We start from the raw sequence: 13844 nt of genomic DNA, 5'->3' as shown, positions 1-13844 counted from the left end.
CTCCCCAGGACAAACCCCCCTGTCTAGGTACACCCCTGGGCCCCAAAGGTGGGGGGAGTGGCAGGATGGATGGGAGTTTGGATGTGCAGGGAGAAGCCAGGGATGAACCAGGATCCAGCTCTCCCCATAATACCACACTCTAGGGCAGAACTCTCAGGAGCCCAAGAACCTGAATTCAGATCTCTCCTCCTGGTCATTAGGAAGAAATAACTGCCTAGAAAGGATGGGACAGATTTTATTGAACAGTTGACATGATTTATAACAAAAATACTTAGGCACAGGGTACTTGGGCCTCTTTTTGCATTCTTGCCCCAAGCCTCACAAATGCCAGGTATGGGCTGAGTCTCAGATCCAGAAGCCAATATGAATGATCACTGCCCACTTGATATCAAAATAAATTTCTGTATAACTTTGTCAAAGCCTTTGTTTATGTATTTTTTGGTCAATTAGTAGTTTTTAAAATGTGGTGTTTTCGTAAACTTTTTGCATGCGTTTTAACCATTTACAATGATACCAAAAAATCTAACTGGATGACACTCATAAATAACATTCTTCAACATTACATTGATAACCTTATTCTCAGTCCAAAAAAAATAAATAAGACCATTGTAAGCAAAAAAATTCTCAAATTATGCCAGAAGAGGGAGCTAAATATATTCATCTTAAATTTGTGAAACTGCAAAATAAAGGTAAATTAAAGTCATTATGAAAATATAAGTACAACCTGTTTATTAGCCTCATTGCTTGCAGTCTTTTCTAGGAATAATTTATATAATCTGAGAAAGACTAAATATTTGCAATTTTGTTTCTGTGAGATTTTACCAGTATAGCTCTTTATTAGAAGCCATATACTATGGTAAACAAATTTCCTTTTTCTTTTTTTTTTTTTTTTTTGAGACAGGGTCTCGCTCTGTCACCCAGGCTGGAGTGTAGTGGCGTGATCATGGCTCGCTGCAGCCTCAACTTCCTGAGTTCATGTGATCCTCCCCCCCCAGCCTCCTGAGTAGCTGCGACTACAGTGCACAGCATCACTCCCAGCTAATTTTTTGTATATTTTTAGTAGAGACGGGGTTTTGCCATATTGCCCAGGCTGGTCTCGAACTCATGGACTCAAGCAATCCACCCACCTCAATCTCTCAAAATGCTGGGATTACAGGTGTGAGCCACTGCACCTGGCCAACAAATTTTTAATTAAGCCTGTATTTCAAGTACTAAAAGTCAACATAGAACAAATTCACGTTATGAAAGTAATGTTATTAAATTTTGATCTCAGAGAAGTATGATTAAGTCATTTTGCAAAAACATTCTTTCAGATTTCAGTATGCAATGTGCAGTACATAGATGGATGCATGATCTTTCCACCTAATTCTATTAGCCATTGCAACTACCCAGGATAAAAAGAGAAGAGCTATATTATGAGGGAAAATCCTACAGTAGCACTATTAGAGCTTTCTGTGATGATGGAAATGTTCTACAGCTGTGCTCTCTGATAAAGCAATGACTAGCCACAGCGGTTATTGAGTAAAATGCAGCCATTCCCAGTGAAGAACTGAATTTTTTATTTTAACTGATTTAAATGGAAACAACCATAGGTGGCTAGTGCCCATAAAATTAGAGAGTATAGTCTTACTTGCCTGCACAAGGGCAAATTTTGTCAATGGCAGATGAAAGATTCCCGAGTCAGCTTTGTGTTAGAGATCCCACTCTAAAGCTATCCCTGAAGACAAGGCATCTTAACATAGAGCTAATCAATATTTGAACTCAAAGCCCTGCAATGTTTACCACTCGATTTCCTGAGTGACTTTGTCCTACTGCAACATCACTGTAACACATCTTAGGTTTCATAGAAGCACAAACGACTGGCCATTAACTTTCCAGTCACTGTGCAGAGGGCTGGGTGGGAACTTCACCTCTCTCTGGTCTCTCCCACACTTGCCAGAGCTAAGCACCACCTGGAGGACGTGCTAGAAATACTGATTCCCAGGTACCACCCTAAATCTTCAGAATCGGAACATCCAGGAATGGGCTAGTAACCTGTTTGGGGTTAGAAATAAGCTTTAGGACATACTCTTTTGATAAGAAAATTCATGTGGGTGATCCTATGAAAAAATCCAGCAATGACATCTCTCAAATCCCTGTATGTTAAAATGTAAATATATCTGAAAAGCACTTCAAATACAAATGTCTTAAAGGTTTCACAGTCCAATTAAAAGCATTATAAAATTTTAAAAGAAATATTATAAAATGAAAGAGCACACCATTTCATTTCCTCTGATAAATTATAAACCACTTCCCTTTGCCTTAATATCAACTCACAAAAGTATCCTCTCTCACAAACACCTTCTACACTGAATACAATGAAATATCATCCTGTCAGCATATATAATAGAAGGGAAATATAAAGGTAGAGAAATGATGTAGAAAAGTGTTATTTATTAAGATCCATTATTGTGTCACTCCTTAGGCCCCTCAAACTAACAAGACTTAGCACACCCCAAATCTCAAAAAGCTAAAGATTAAATAGTAAATACATATCCATGCAACTCTCATGCAACCAACATGCCAATTCCTCTTCCCCTTTTCTCATAAATTACACAGGCATTTTTTTAATTAAAAAAAACTTTAATGTTGGCTCTGAAAATGGAATTACTTAATAAAGGTTTGTCTCATTCCAGAGTCTTATCAACACAATCATTTCTGCAGGCAAATATGAAAGTCAAATTAAATGATAATTAAAGATTTCATCTAATTGTGATTGAAATATGCACCCAAAAGTTGTTATATTGCTGGGCTGGCAAATGCTCCATACAAAAGGATTTCCAGCTCTTTCTTCATTAAGCTTGAAAAAATTTTTTAAAAAAGCAAAACTTCCTTGCTTTCCTTTGTCTTTTCAATGTTTTTTCGGCAAAAAGTGTTAGTTTACCTGCAGTATCCTGAGCTACAAAACATTATATGTTTTACACATTACTCATTCAGGTGTTGGACCAAGTTTCTGAAAAGCACTGTGCTACACCAAGTCAGGATCTGTGAGAACACTGGAACTTTTCTCAAAAGGCACACCAGATTGCTTTAAAAAGAAAAAAAAATACACATGGGTACTAGGAAGTGTAAGTACTCTTTTTGTAATGTATTGAGTGACTCCCCACTGAATTTGTAATATTGAAAAAAGCTTTATCGCTCAAATGTATGAATCATCATAGCTGATCAGGATTTTGCAACTGGAGTTTAAAATGGTAAATTTTACAGGGATTTTTTTTTTTTTAAATAGCAATTCAAAGATTTTCTATTCCTTAGTACAAAATGTCTGCGAGTCAATCCATTTCCTCTTTAAAATATTTAGACATGGTGAATGTGAAAGTTCTACCCAAAAAGCTTTAAAGTTTATATCATCTACTTCCAACAATAGGATCAATTAGCATTGAAAGTCTAAAAAGTCTTTTAAAACAAAATATTAATTTTTATGACAATCCTAAAATCAACTATGCCTTTAATTTTACTAAATACACAAGGTCAAGAATTACTTTTCCATTAGATTCCACTTTAAGAAATTCCAACAGGAAATGACAATTGCTAGGAATTACCAAATTTGGCAAGGTGTTCTTTGAAAAGTCCACAATAAAGCACCATGTTACAAAGTTTGATAAACCAAAAAATAATAGTACTAAAAACAAAAAGATGCAAATATTATCAATTATATAGGGTGGGGTATGGAGCAAACACAAATTAACAGAGCACCATCCTCCAACAGTTTACATTTAAATTCTCATTACAGTTCAGCTTTTGATTTTTATACCTGAATAAGTAATGGGTTTTGGTTGTGAAGCTTGCTGTAGCACAGTGTATAAGTGTGGAGAACCAACTCCACTCTTAAGAATCTGGGCAAATTTGTTGATTCCTTTACTACAACCCAATCCCAGTTTTTCACTAGCTAAATCATTTTTCATTGAAAGAAATCAGTATTGCTTAGGAAGAAAAGGATAAAGATCAGCAGAAAGGTTTAAAAGTAGTGAATCCAAGACACGCATTATTTCAAAAGAAAGGAGGATTCAGCCTTCAATGTTGACCAGAACACCAATGAACTAGGTGTCCCAGGTTGTAGGAAGAATATTTGATGACACATCCGATGCTGCATTTTCCACTCGTTCTAGTTTTCCCCCTTTGCCCTGGTGACAGCCAATCACATGGAATAGAAAAAGAGCCTTCTCTCCAAACTTCAGCCCTTCCCAAACCACTAACATGGACAGGCCTCGACAGTCCTTGGGCACCAGCGGTGTGTGGGAGACAGTGGCATTCTTTGCATTAAGTGATGCCAACACCGTTATGAAGTGCAAAATGAAACCACCACACAGTTGCACCTTCTGGAGGCATTCACCATAAAAAAAGATATTTTGAAGTTAGTGCCTGGCAGGGCCCACTGGAAAGTTTAAGCTGAAACACTGGGACTCCAGAGGCTGCCCAAGCCAAATATTTCATTACTGATGGAAGCAGTTTGGAAGTGTGTGAAAAACTGCCACTTACCTCTAAAAATGTAATACAAAGAAAAGAAAGTGTATATGCAAAGTGTGGATCAGTATTATATCAAGATGTTTGTCTGCTAACTGCTGCTGAGTCAAAGCTGTTTCTGTCTGAATCTCTCTCAGGACTTCAAGTGAAAAATGTATATTCTGGTGGGCAAATCTAATCCCAATTCTTTTCTTAAATAAACCTTTAAAGCATATTCATACTTTATGCTTGTAATGATTAACACCCTGAACTTTAAACTTATTAAGCTTTACGGGTGACACTACAACAAATGATGGCCTGTGCTCTTTGACTAAGCAAAAACAAAGCAAAAAAAACAACGATGACTTCCTTAATTTTGGGACACATCTGTTTAATCAGTAGTAAAAAAGTGATTAGAAGCAGAGCTTTAAAGCCAAAGAGGCTTAGGTTTTAATCCTTGCTTTGCCACTTACTGAATTCAGTAGTCTTGGGCAAGTTAGTTAACTTGAATCCCATTTATTCATCTGTAAAATGGGAGTAATTATGTGCAGTAATAAGGATTAAATAATATATATATATAAACATGACAGGCATCGTGCCCAGTATGTAGAAAGCACAAACTAATAGGTAGTTATTATTGTTAGAATTAGTCATGTAATCTTTATTATTGTTTAGATTATGGAAATACCCGATTGCAATTGCAGGTTTTAAGACCAGAAATTATCATACTTAGACTGTTCTCAATACTTTTCTAAGGAAGCAAGCTGGAAGCACATTTGCATTTTGCCTTGTATATATTTGCATTTTGCCTTTGTATATATAAACAATACTCAAAATCTTCAGAAGTCAAAACCAAAATATTTTCAATTTATCATACTTTCCCCAAAAGGACCACAATACTAATATATTTGAGATATTAGACTTCAGTTTTCTGAATGTGAAGACAAAATGAAGTTGGAATGACTGTGTGCTAAATTATATTGAGTGTGGCCGAAACAAGAGCTTTTTTTTTTGGAGGAAGAAGGAGAAAAAAAGTATGCGCAACTGAAAATGAGAGTACAAAGAGTAGATGTGGAAATAAATCTTCAGCCATAACTACATTATTTTCAGAGATAACTAGCAGGAGGGAATTAAAAGAGTTGCCGACAGATTTAAACTAGAAGTTTGCAAATCTCCTCAGATATCCTAATTAGTCTTTAATATCGTTAAGTTTATCTTCTCTCATTTATCTCTCCTGCTGCACAGCTAAAAACAAATGAAAGGGAATTGAGATCCTCTGTCCATTCGTTTTATTTCTAGACAACAGACTGGTATAGAAAACAAACAGCAGGCAAAGATCTTATTAAACCTAAGCAGACCTAACAGCTTTGTTTCTGACGGGCTTAGCTAAAGCCTCAGAGTTAGGAGGTAACTGAAATGCAAGATTACATTTAATCTTTGACAGGCTAGCCTAATTAATTGTGATCCTTATCACCTAAATTGGAGTTTGATTCTAAGATTACAATTTACGGTGTACAGCAAATTAAAATAGCTAGGCAGGATGTAAATGGGGAAGAAAGGGATTTCCTCCTCTCCTCACCAGAAAAATAATTTATACCTGAGTCCACAGGATTTTTGAAGCCAATGATTTATAAGGAAAGTTGGTCTTTCGGTGTGCTAAGAAAGATTTCATACGAAGTATGACCCAGAAGCCCCCAAAAAGAAAAAAGACAAATCACAGGCCATGACACACAGTGGGCGGTAGGCTGTTTGCTGAATGAATGATTAGTACTGAACATCAACTAGGAGCCACATTCCCACAGTAAGTATTTTACAGAAATATTTTCATTTATTTTTCATAGCAGTTCAAAGGTGTATAGTCTCTATTATCCCCAGTTTAAAGGCAAGGAAACTATTTGTCCAATGTCACAAAGCTCTTAAGTAATGCCTATGTATTTAGTTTGGGCTTGTCTTCCCTGCGCCAGAGTATACAAGTGCCAGTCAAGGAAAGAAGCTTATAGTAAGTTTCCCAACACTTCCTGCAAGCCTCCCTTCTTTAAAAGGTATCTGCAATAAGGGTGTTATGAAACACACAGATATCTGATGGTCAATCCCACAAGGGAATAACCTTAATACTTTCTGATTATGCTCAAGTTAAATGATCTTGATAATAGCAGTTTTTGTACTTCCTCCCCAAATAACAAGTTAATATATTCCCTCTCATTATGAACTACTTTGAAATGCAGATAATTAACACTGTAAATGGAAAAGCAATAGGAGCCCCTATTAATAACCAGAGAAAGGCAGGGGCATTCCAGATGAACCACACTATCTCTGGCTGAGGGCAAACTTGTGGAGACACTTCTTTCCTACTTACATGTGATGATAAATTTCAGAGTCAAACTTATAAAATGTCATGTTAGAAATGCTTAAAAATAATAAAGCAGAGTTGTAAAATGTAACTTGAGAAGCTGCGATGTCACAAGCAATTGAAGGATCCCCTGATTAGTATTAGGAGAGGGCAGGGGGATGGAGAGGAACTGGACAGAAAGATGCTACTGGCAGACTAGAGACCAGAAAGAAGCTTTGGATCCAGGCTGGGACCTCACTGACAGTGCAGAAGCAGGCCACTGGCTGACCAAGGAGAAAGTGAGTGGGTAGAGAGAGAGAAACTGCCAAAAAGGCAAGTTTGTCCAGCCAGACCGAACAAGCACTCTTAAGAAAGCCTGGATGGAAATAAGGAGAAAAAAGCAGCACCAGATTCCTTTTAAATAACTATAGAGAGTAGGGGGTTTTTTCTCTGACATTTTTAAATATCCTGAAAAGTTGAAAGAATTGTTTAGTGAACGCCCACATTATCTTTCACCTAGATTCTACGATTAACATTTTCATATTTGCTTTATTTACATATTTATCTGCCAGCACATTTTTTTTAAAGATGCATTTTAAAGTCAGATGTGGAAGTCAGTTGCTACAGACTGAATTGTGTCCCTTCCCCCCAGATTCATGTTGACGCCCTGACCCTCAATGTGATAATATTTGGAGATGGGCCTTTGGGAGGCAGCTGAGTTTACAGGAAGTCATGAGGGCAAGTGCTCTCACGATGGGATTAGTGCCTTTATAAGAAGCAGCACCAGAGACCTTTCTCCCCACCCTTCCCATGTGAGATCACAGTGACAAGGTGGCAGCCTGGAGGCTAGGGAGAAGGCCCTCACCAGAACCCAACCACACTGGCACCCTGTGAGAAATAGATTTCTAAATGTCTATGGTGGTACAGACATAAACACCAGTCTGTGGTGTTTTGTTATGGTAACCCTGACCTAACACATCAGTACACTACACCCAAAGAGAGGAATGGAACCTTGTCTAGAAAATGTCAATGTCAAACACAAATTCTGTAAGTATTTAGTAAATAAATACCCTCTGCGTGTCAGAATATTCCCAAGGGCAGTAGTTTGAGGCAGTGGTTCCCCAACTTTAATGTACATATTAACAGCCTGATTCAGGAGGTCGGGGTGCAGTCTGGGATTCTGCATTTCCAACAGGCTCCCAGGTGATGCCCATGCTGCCGGTCCTCGGACCACAATCACACTTTGAGTAGCAAGGATTGGGGCTGAGCCCACCAGCCACAGAGAGAAAATCCAGACCATTGTGGGAGACAGAATCCCAATGATTGACCTTCTTACTGATAACTTGTTGCCTACATGCCTGAGTTTCACAGGCTGATCTTACACCAGACCCCAAATGATACTGACGGACCGGCGGGTCTAGCTATCATATCAAATTTGGTCTGATACCACAACGAATTAGGTATCAAAAGAGAGACTAGCAGCCAGGAGCTCTGCTGCCCTGTGCACTGTGTACTGATGAGTGGGGAGGGATTATGTGAGCCACAACTTGCCCAAGGTCCCACAGGAAGTTCAAGCCGAGGACCCAGGCCTCCTGATGCCCATGCCAGAGCCTTTCCTACCTCGCCACATTCAAGAGGACTTTGCTCTTTGTATCTCCTGTGGGGTGGGAGGAGTTAGGGAGGGACAGAAAATGTTAGGCTGATTACAAATCACTACTACTGCTGATTAATTCCCATGTAGTGAACACTTAGTGTAAGAAACTCTGCTCAGCGTTTAATCTCATTTAATCTGTACAACGCTCTAAGAAATTATCACTGTCCCCATTTTACAGATGAGAAAACTGAGATTAAGAAAAATTAAACAAGTTACCTAAAGTCATACCAGCAGTAAGAAATAAAGCTAGGATTTTACAGAACAGATGGGACTTCAAAGCCAATTGTAACCACTCTGTGAATCTAGGTTGCCTTTTTAGGCAGACAAACTGCATGATGCCATATGTGAGGTTAAAAAATCTTTACGTGACACTGATGGACAAGCACTTGGCGACAGTTGCAACCCTTAGTGACAAGAGGTGCATTTTTTTAACTTGAGCTTGGACTGGCAGGCCAGCTTTTCACCATCACCTCTGCTTTATCAGTATTGAAGCCTTGCCAGCTCACTCAGCCAGGCTAAATATTTTCAAGACAGCATTTATTAAATATTTTCTCATAAAGCTAAACAAAGCACATTCTTCCCCAAGGATGTAATGGGTTTTATCCAGCTAAATATAGCTGGCTAACTTATCACTTTTAGCAAGGTACAAAAGACTCTTCTAGTTAATCATCAGATGGACAGAGGGCCCTTCAAATCACTTTTTAAAAATATATATTTTGTAATGTATATTTGCAAGCATCACAAAATGAAATCTTAGTAAAATATGCTTAACAAATATATGAAGGGAGTTGAAGCATCCATGATCAAAAAGGGAGAGGAAGGGAAAGCAATGACCTGTGTGTGGAATTGCAGAGAAAAATAAAGGCAAGAAAGGCAAGAGGCCTGAAAACATTGTACAGAAAATTCCCTATCAGCTGGTGCAGAAGAAATGCATAAGAAAATAATATTTATTCAGACTTCATTTTAAAAGTTTGAAAAGATCACTGATATAAGACTATATATATTAAAAGGTAACAATTTTGAGATAAAAGTAAACACAATCCTTAACAATTGTGTAAGGAATCAGAGTTTAACAAAATGAAGCAATATACTTTCACTACTTCAGACAAAGGTGATTAATTCTGGTGGGCTAATACATCTTCATATCTCACAATAGACTATGATCAGTAGTGAAATAAACAAGAGGCTACTCACCTCTCTACTAAAGAAATTAATGGGCTTCTTCTGGTTATGGTTTTAGAATTATAATTTTAGATGGGTCAATTTGGGCAGATGTTGAACCCTATCACTACATTCTCAAAAAAGCTCAGGATAATAAATAGTACTATAGTTATTTGTGCCAAACCAATGCACTTAAAAAAAAACAACAACACACAAAACTGTGATATACAGAAGGCCCTATAGATATAGCAGAACTAAAATGTAGAATATATATATATTTCTACATATATAGATATATATGTAGAAATATATATATAGATATATATGTAGATATATGTATATATAGATATATATGTAGATATATGTACATATATAAATATATATGTATCTATGTATCTATATATCTATGTATGTATCTATATACATGTATCTACATGTATATATGTATACATGTATCTACATGTATCTACATGTATATATGTATACATGTATCTACATGTATCTACATGTATATATGTATACATGTATCTACATGTATCTACATGTATATATGTATACATGTATCTACATGTATCTACATGTATATATGTATACATGTATCTACATGTATCTACATGTATATATGTATACATGTATCTACATGTATCTACATGTATACATGTATCTACATGTATCTACATGTATACATGTATCTACATGTATCTACATGTATACATGTATCTACGTATACATGTATCTACATGCATCTACATGTATATATGTATACATGTATCTACATGCATCTACATGTATATATGTATACATGCATCTACATGCATCTACATGTGTATACATGCAGATACATGTATCTACATGTGTATACATGCAGATACATGTGTATACATGTGTATACATGCATCTACATGTGTATACATGTGTATACATGCAGATACATGTGTATACATGTAGGTACATGTGTATACATGTATACATTAGATATGTATCTATATAGCTATGTATCTATATGTATACATATATAGATATATGTATACATATAGATATATATGTACATATATAGATATATATATGTATTCTACATACATATATATGTAGTGTATGTGTGTGTGTGCGTGTGTGTATATATATATATATATAAAAATTATAGAAAGAAGCCTGGTCATGTTCTCAAAAAGATTCTCAGAAATAAGCCAACAGATACAGAGAGGTGATATTTGAGTAATGAGTGAATTCTAATAATTGCTTAAGAGTCAGCAGGGAGAAAGTTATGTCAATATAGACTACAGCTAACTGGTGAAAGGAAGGGGCAAACTAAAAGCTTCCCTCAGAGAGGGAACTATTCAATCAGTCGTTTTAATTAACACTTTAGATTCCTGATGGAAATACGCTGTTAACAATCTGTAGATTGAACACAGCAAAATGTTGGCTTCCTATAATGAAAGTCCATACAATGTTAATGAAAAAGTAGCAGTGACTCAGGCTGGTGGATGGCCCAGAGGTGAAAGCAATCATTTATCACTGCGGGGTACTCCTTTCTGCATTATCATCTCAGAGTCGCCTCTTCCTTAACAACCGTAATAACCTATGCTCCACTCCTCTGTTGCACCATTTCTGTCTTCAGCAGAAAGGGAAGGGATAGGGTCTGAACCACGGGAGGGAGTTTGTACATTTTGTTCTATCAGATTAGGCCTCAGTAACTTTATGAATTATAAGCTGTCAACTACTTTTTCATCTGCTATAGAATATGCTTCTTAGAAATTGTGGCTATAAATAAAACAACAGATGTTTTTTGTTGGCTCTAACATGAGCTTGAGTAATTTTTTTAAAAGGGCTAGAAGTTAAGCAAATTACCTAAAAGGCTGTTTCAGGTTTCCCCCTGTTGGTCATCTTTTATGTTAGCCTTCTGAAGACATTCATTTTAGCCCATAAATTACTTTTTGGGGCCATTTAATGTAACCTACTGGAAAAACTAGAAAGGGGTTTTCAATACAATTGCTTTCTTTCTGTGACTTTTTTTTTTAAAAGAGTATTGATTAAATCCCCTATTTATGATTGTCACTATTATCAAATAAAAAGCAATTGAAAAGGCACTGTGCACTAGTAGAAAAAATTTAGACAATAGATGAGGCCATATGTTCCAGATTTTTCTGCCAACAACATGTTGGTAACTTTGGGCAAAACATTTAATGTCTCCAGGCCTCACTGTCATAACAGTGAAGTGGTAATGGTTTAACTAGATGTCCTAAAATCATTTCTAGTGCTTAAATTCTGTGTTTTGGAGAAAATGTCAAGGAGATCACATGTCCCAACATAAAATTACTAAATTTACATTTAATCACAAATTACTTAAAAAATAATTCTATATTATCTTTAGCCACTGTGTGTTGAAAATCTGGAAGAAATCACAGGCATCTGGAGAATGACTGGAGTTGGCACCAAGCGAAAATTACTTCAAATATGGAGGGAAGGAAGTTAAATAAATGGGAGAATGGCAACATTTAATTATACTTCACTGGGCTACACTAACTTATAATTTCTAACCCAGGGGATAGGTGGTTTAAAATAGTGTTTTGGTATACATTTTCACTTTGCCAGAATGAACAGTAAAATTCAAAATGATGAAAACATTTCTGTGACTTCTGTATGTGGATCTAACAAAAGACAACTAATTCCATGTTCTTAAATGTATTCCAAAGTTACAACAGCTATAAATCAGAGAACGTAATTTGGCTTCTATAAATCATGGGGTTGCGGGGAGAAGAAGATCATGAAATTGAGAGCAATATGAAGAGAGAGAGGTGAACTGTCACTGCCCTAGTCATTTAGGTTATTTCCTTGAGTCATGATAACAGCCTTGTGAAACACATCAACCTCATTTTGTATGTGGGAAAGAGACTCAAGAGGTTTGGTGACTACACCAAGATCACTTAACTAGTGTTTGGCAGAGCAGATATTACAACCTCTGTCCGGCTGCATCCAAGGGCCCTTGTCTTTCCACTTCATCTTTGATTTTTTTTCTCCTCTTTTCCCTCTTTGAGTTTCAGCATTAAATTGCCAATAAATGCAATTCATTTGGACAGTTTGAAATTTTTAACCCATGCATGCACAGCACTGCTGGGCTCTAAGAGATGGCGGGAGGGGAGAGTCCAAGCAAAATTAGCTCATGATCTACACAGTGAGTACAAGTGACAGGGATAAAACAGACAAAGGGGCTTAATTGGAAGTCATGATACTTACAGGAAACTGCTCCATTTCCAGAACCTCTGTGGGTTTATCCATTCCCCTCTGAGAGTCATTTAATTCTTTGGAAAATAATACATTCTCAAAAATGTGGTATTTCTGATCACACAAGATCAGAAATAATATACTAAAAGCTGCCCTTAGTATTTGATGCTTTCATTACCAAGAAGCCAATAATAATCATGGCCAATATACACAACGTACTTAACATGTATCAGGCTCTATGCTACGTTGCTTTACTAAAATTATCTCAGAAAATATAATCTTTCATAACATTATAAGAAAGGTTCTATCATCATTGTCATTGTACAGAGAGGAAAAACAGGCTCAGAAGTGATTTGTCCAGGCTCATATAGCTGTACTAGTCAGCACCAGGATTTAACTGATAAGAGATGACCTGGTTTAGAGGACATAAAGGCAGCTCCCTTCCAAGAGATCCTTATGTACTAACTGAGTGTCATCCCATGAGGTCCCATAGGGCATATGGTTTCCTTACAAACTGTGCCCCTTTTGGGGGGCAGCTCAATGCACTACTTTGGACATTGACTGCCAAGAGCCAGGCAACAAAGTTAGAAAAAGAGTTCTCTAGCCAAAAAGACCTGGAAAGTAGAGAGTCCAAGAATAGCCACTCTTTGATCCATTTCTCTACTTACTGTAATTTTCTTTGTCTAAGATATTCTATGGGATGTTTAGCATATCTGGTGTATGTTTACCAAATGAGAACAGAACCCCTCTCCTCACGCCCATGGTGATAGCCAAACTTCCTCACTCTTGAAAAATCACAGTAGAAGATACACTGTTTCCATAGTCATGCCTTCTAGCAGCTGATCATTCATTTTGGAAGAAAAGATGCAGATACACAAAATAGTCAATGAGTAGAGTTTAGATGAGGAATTAAGAGGAAGAATGACTTTCAGTGCCCTGTAAATAGTGGGGTCTCGCTGTAAGCCACACATGTAATTTTACATTTTCTAGTAGCCA

General features: G+C 36.8%; 1 protein-coding gene across 6 annotated transcripts in view; it reads right to left on the bottom strand.

Moving 5' to 3' along the window:
* The window catches only part of PIK3R1 (phosphoinositide-3-kinase regulatory subunit 1), an 86066-nt gene that overhangs the window by 28675 nt on the left and 43547 nt on the right, over window positions 1-13844 (bottom strand). The window lies entirely within an intron of this gene.

Source organism: Homo sapiens, chromosome 5 (assembly GCF_000001405.40).
Source record: "Homo sapiens chromosome 5, GRCh38.p14 Primary Assembly".
Taxonomy (NCBI): Eukaryota; Metazoa; Chordata; class Mammalia; order Primates; family Hominidae; genus Homo; species Homo sapiens.
This window is presented reverse-complemented; position numbering and strand designations above follow the sequence as displayed.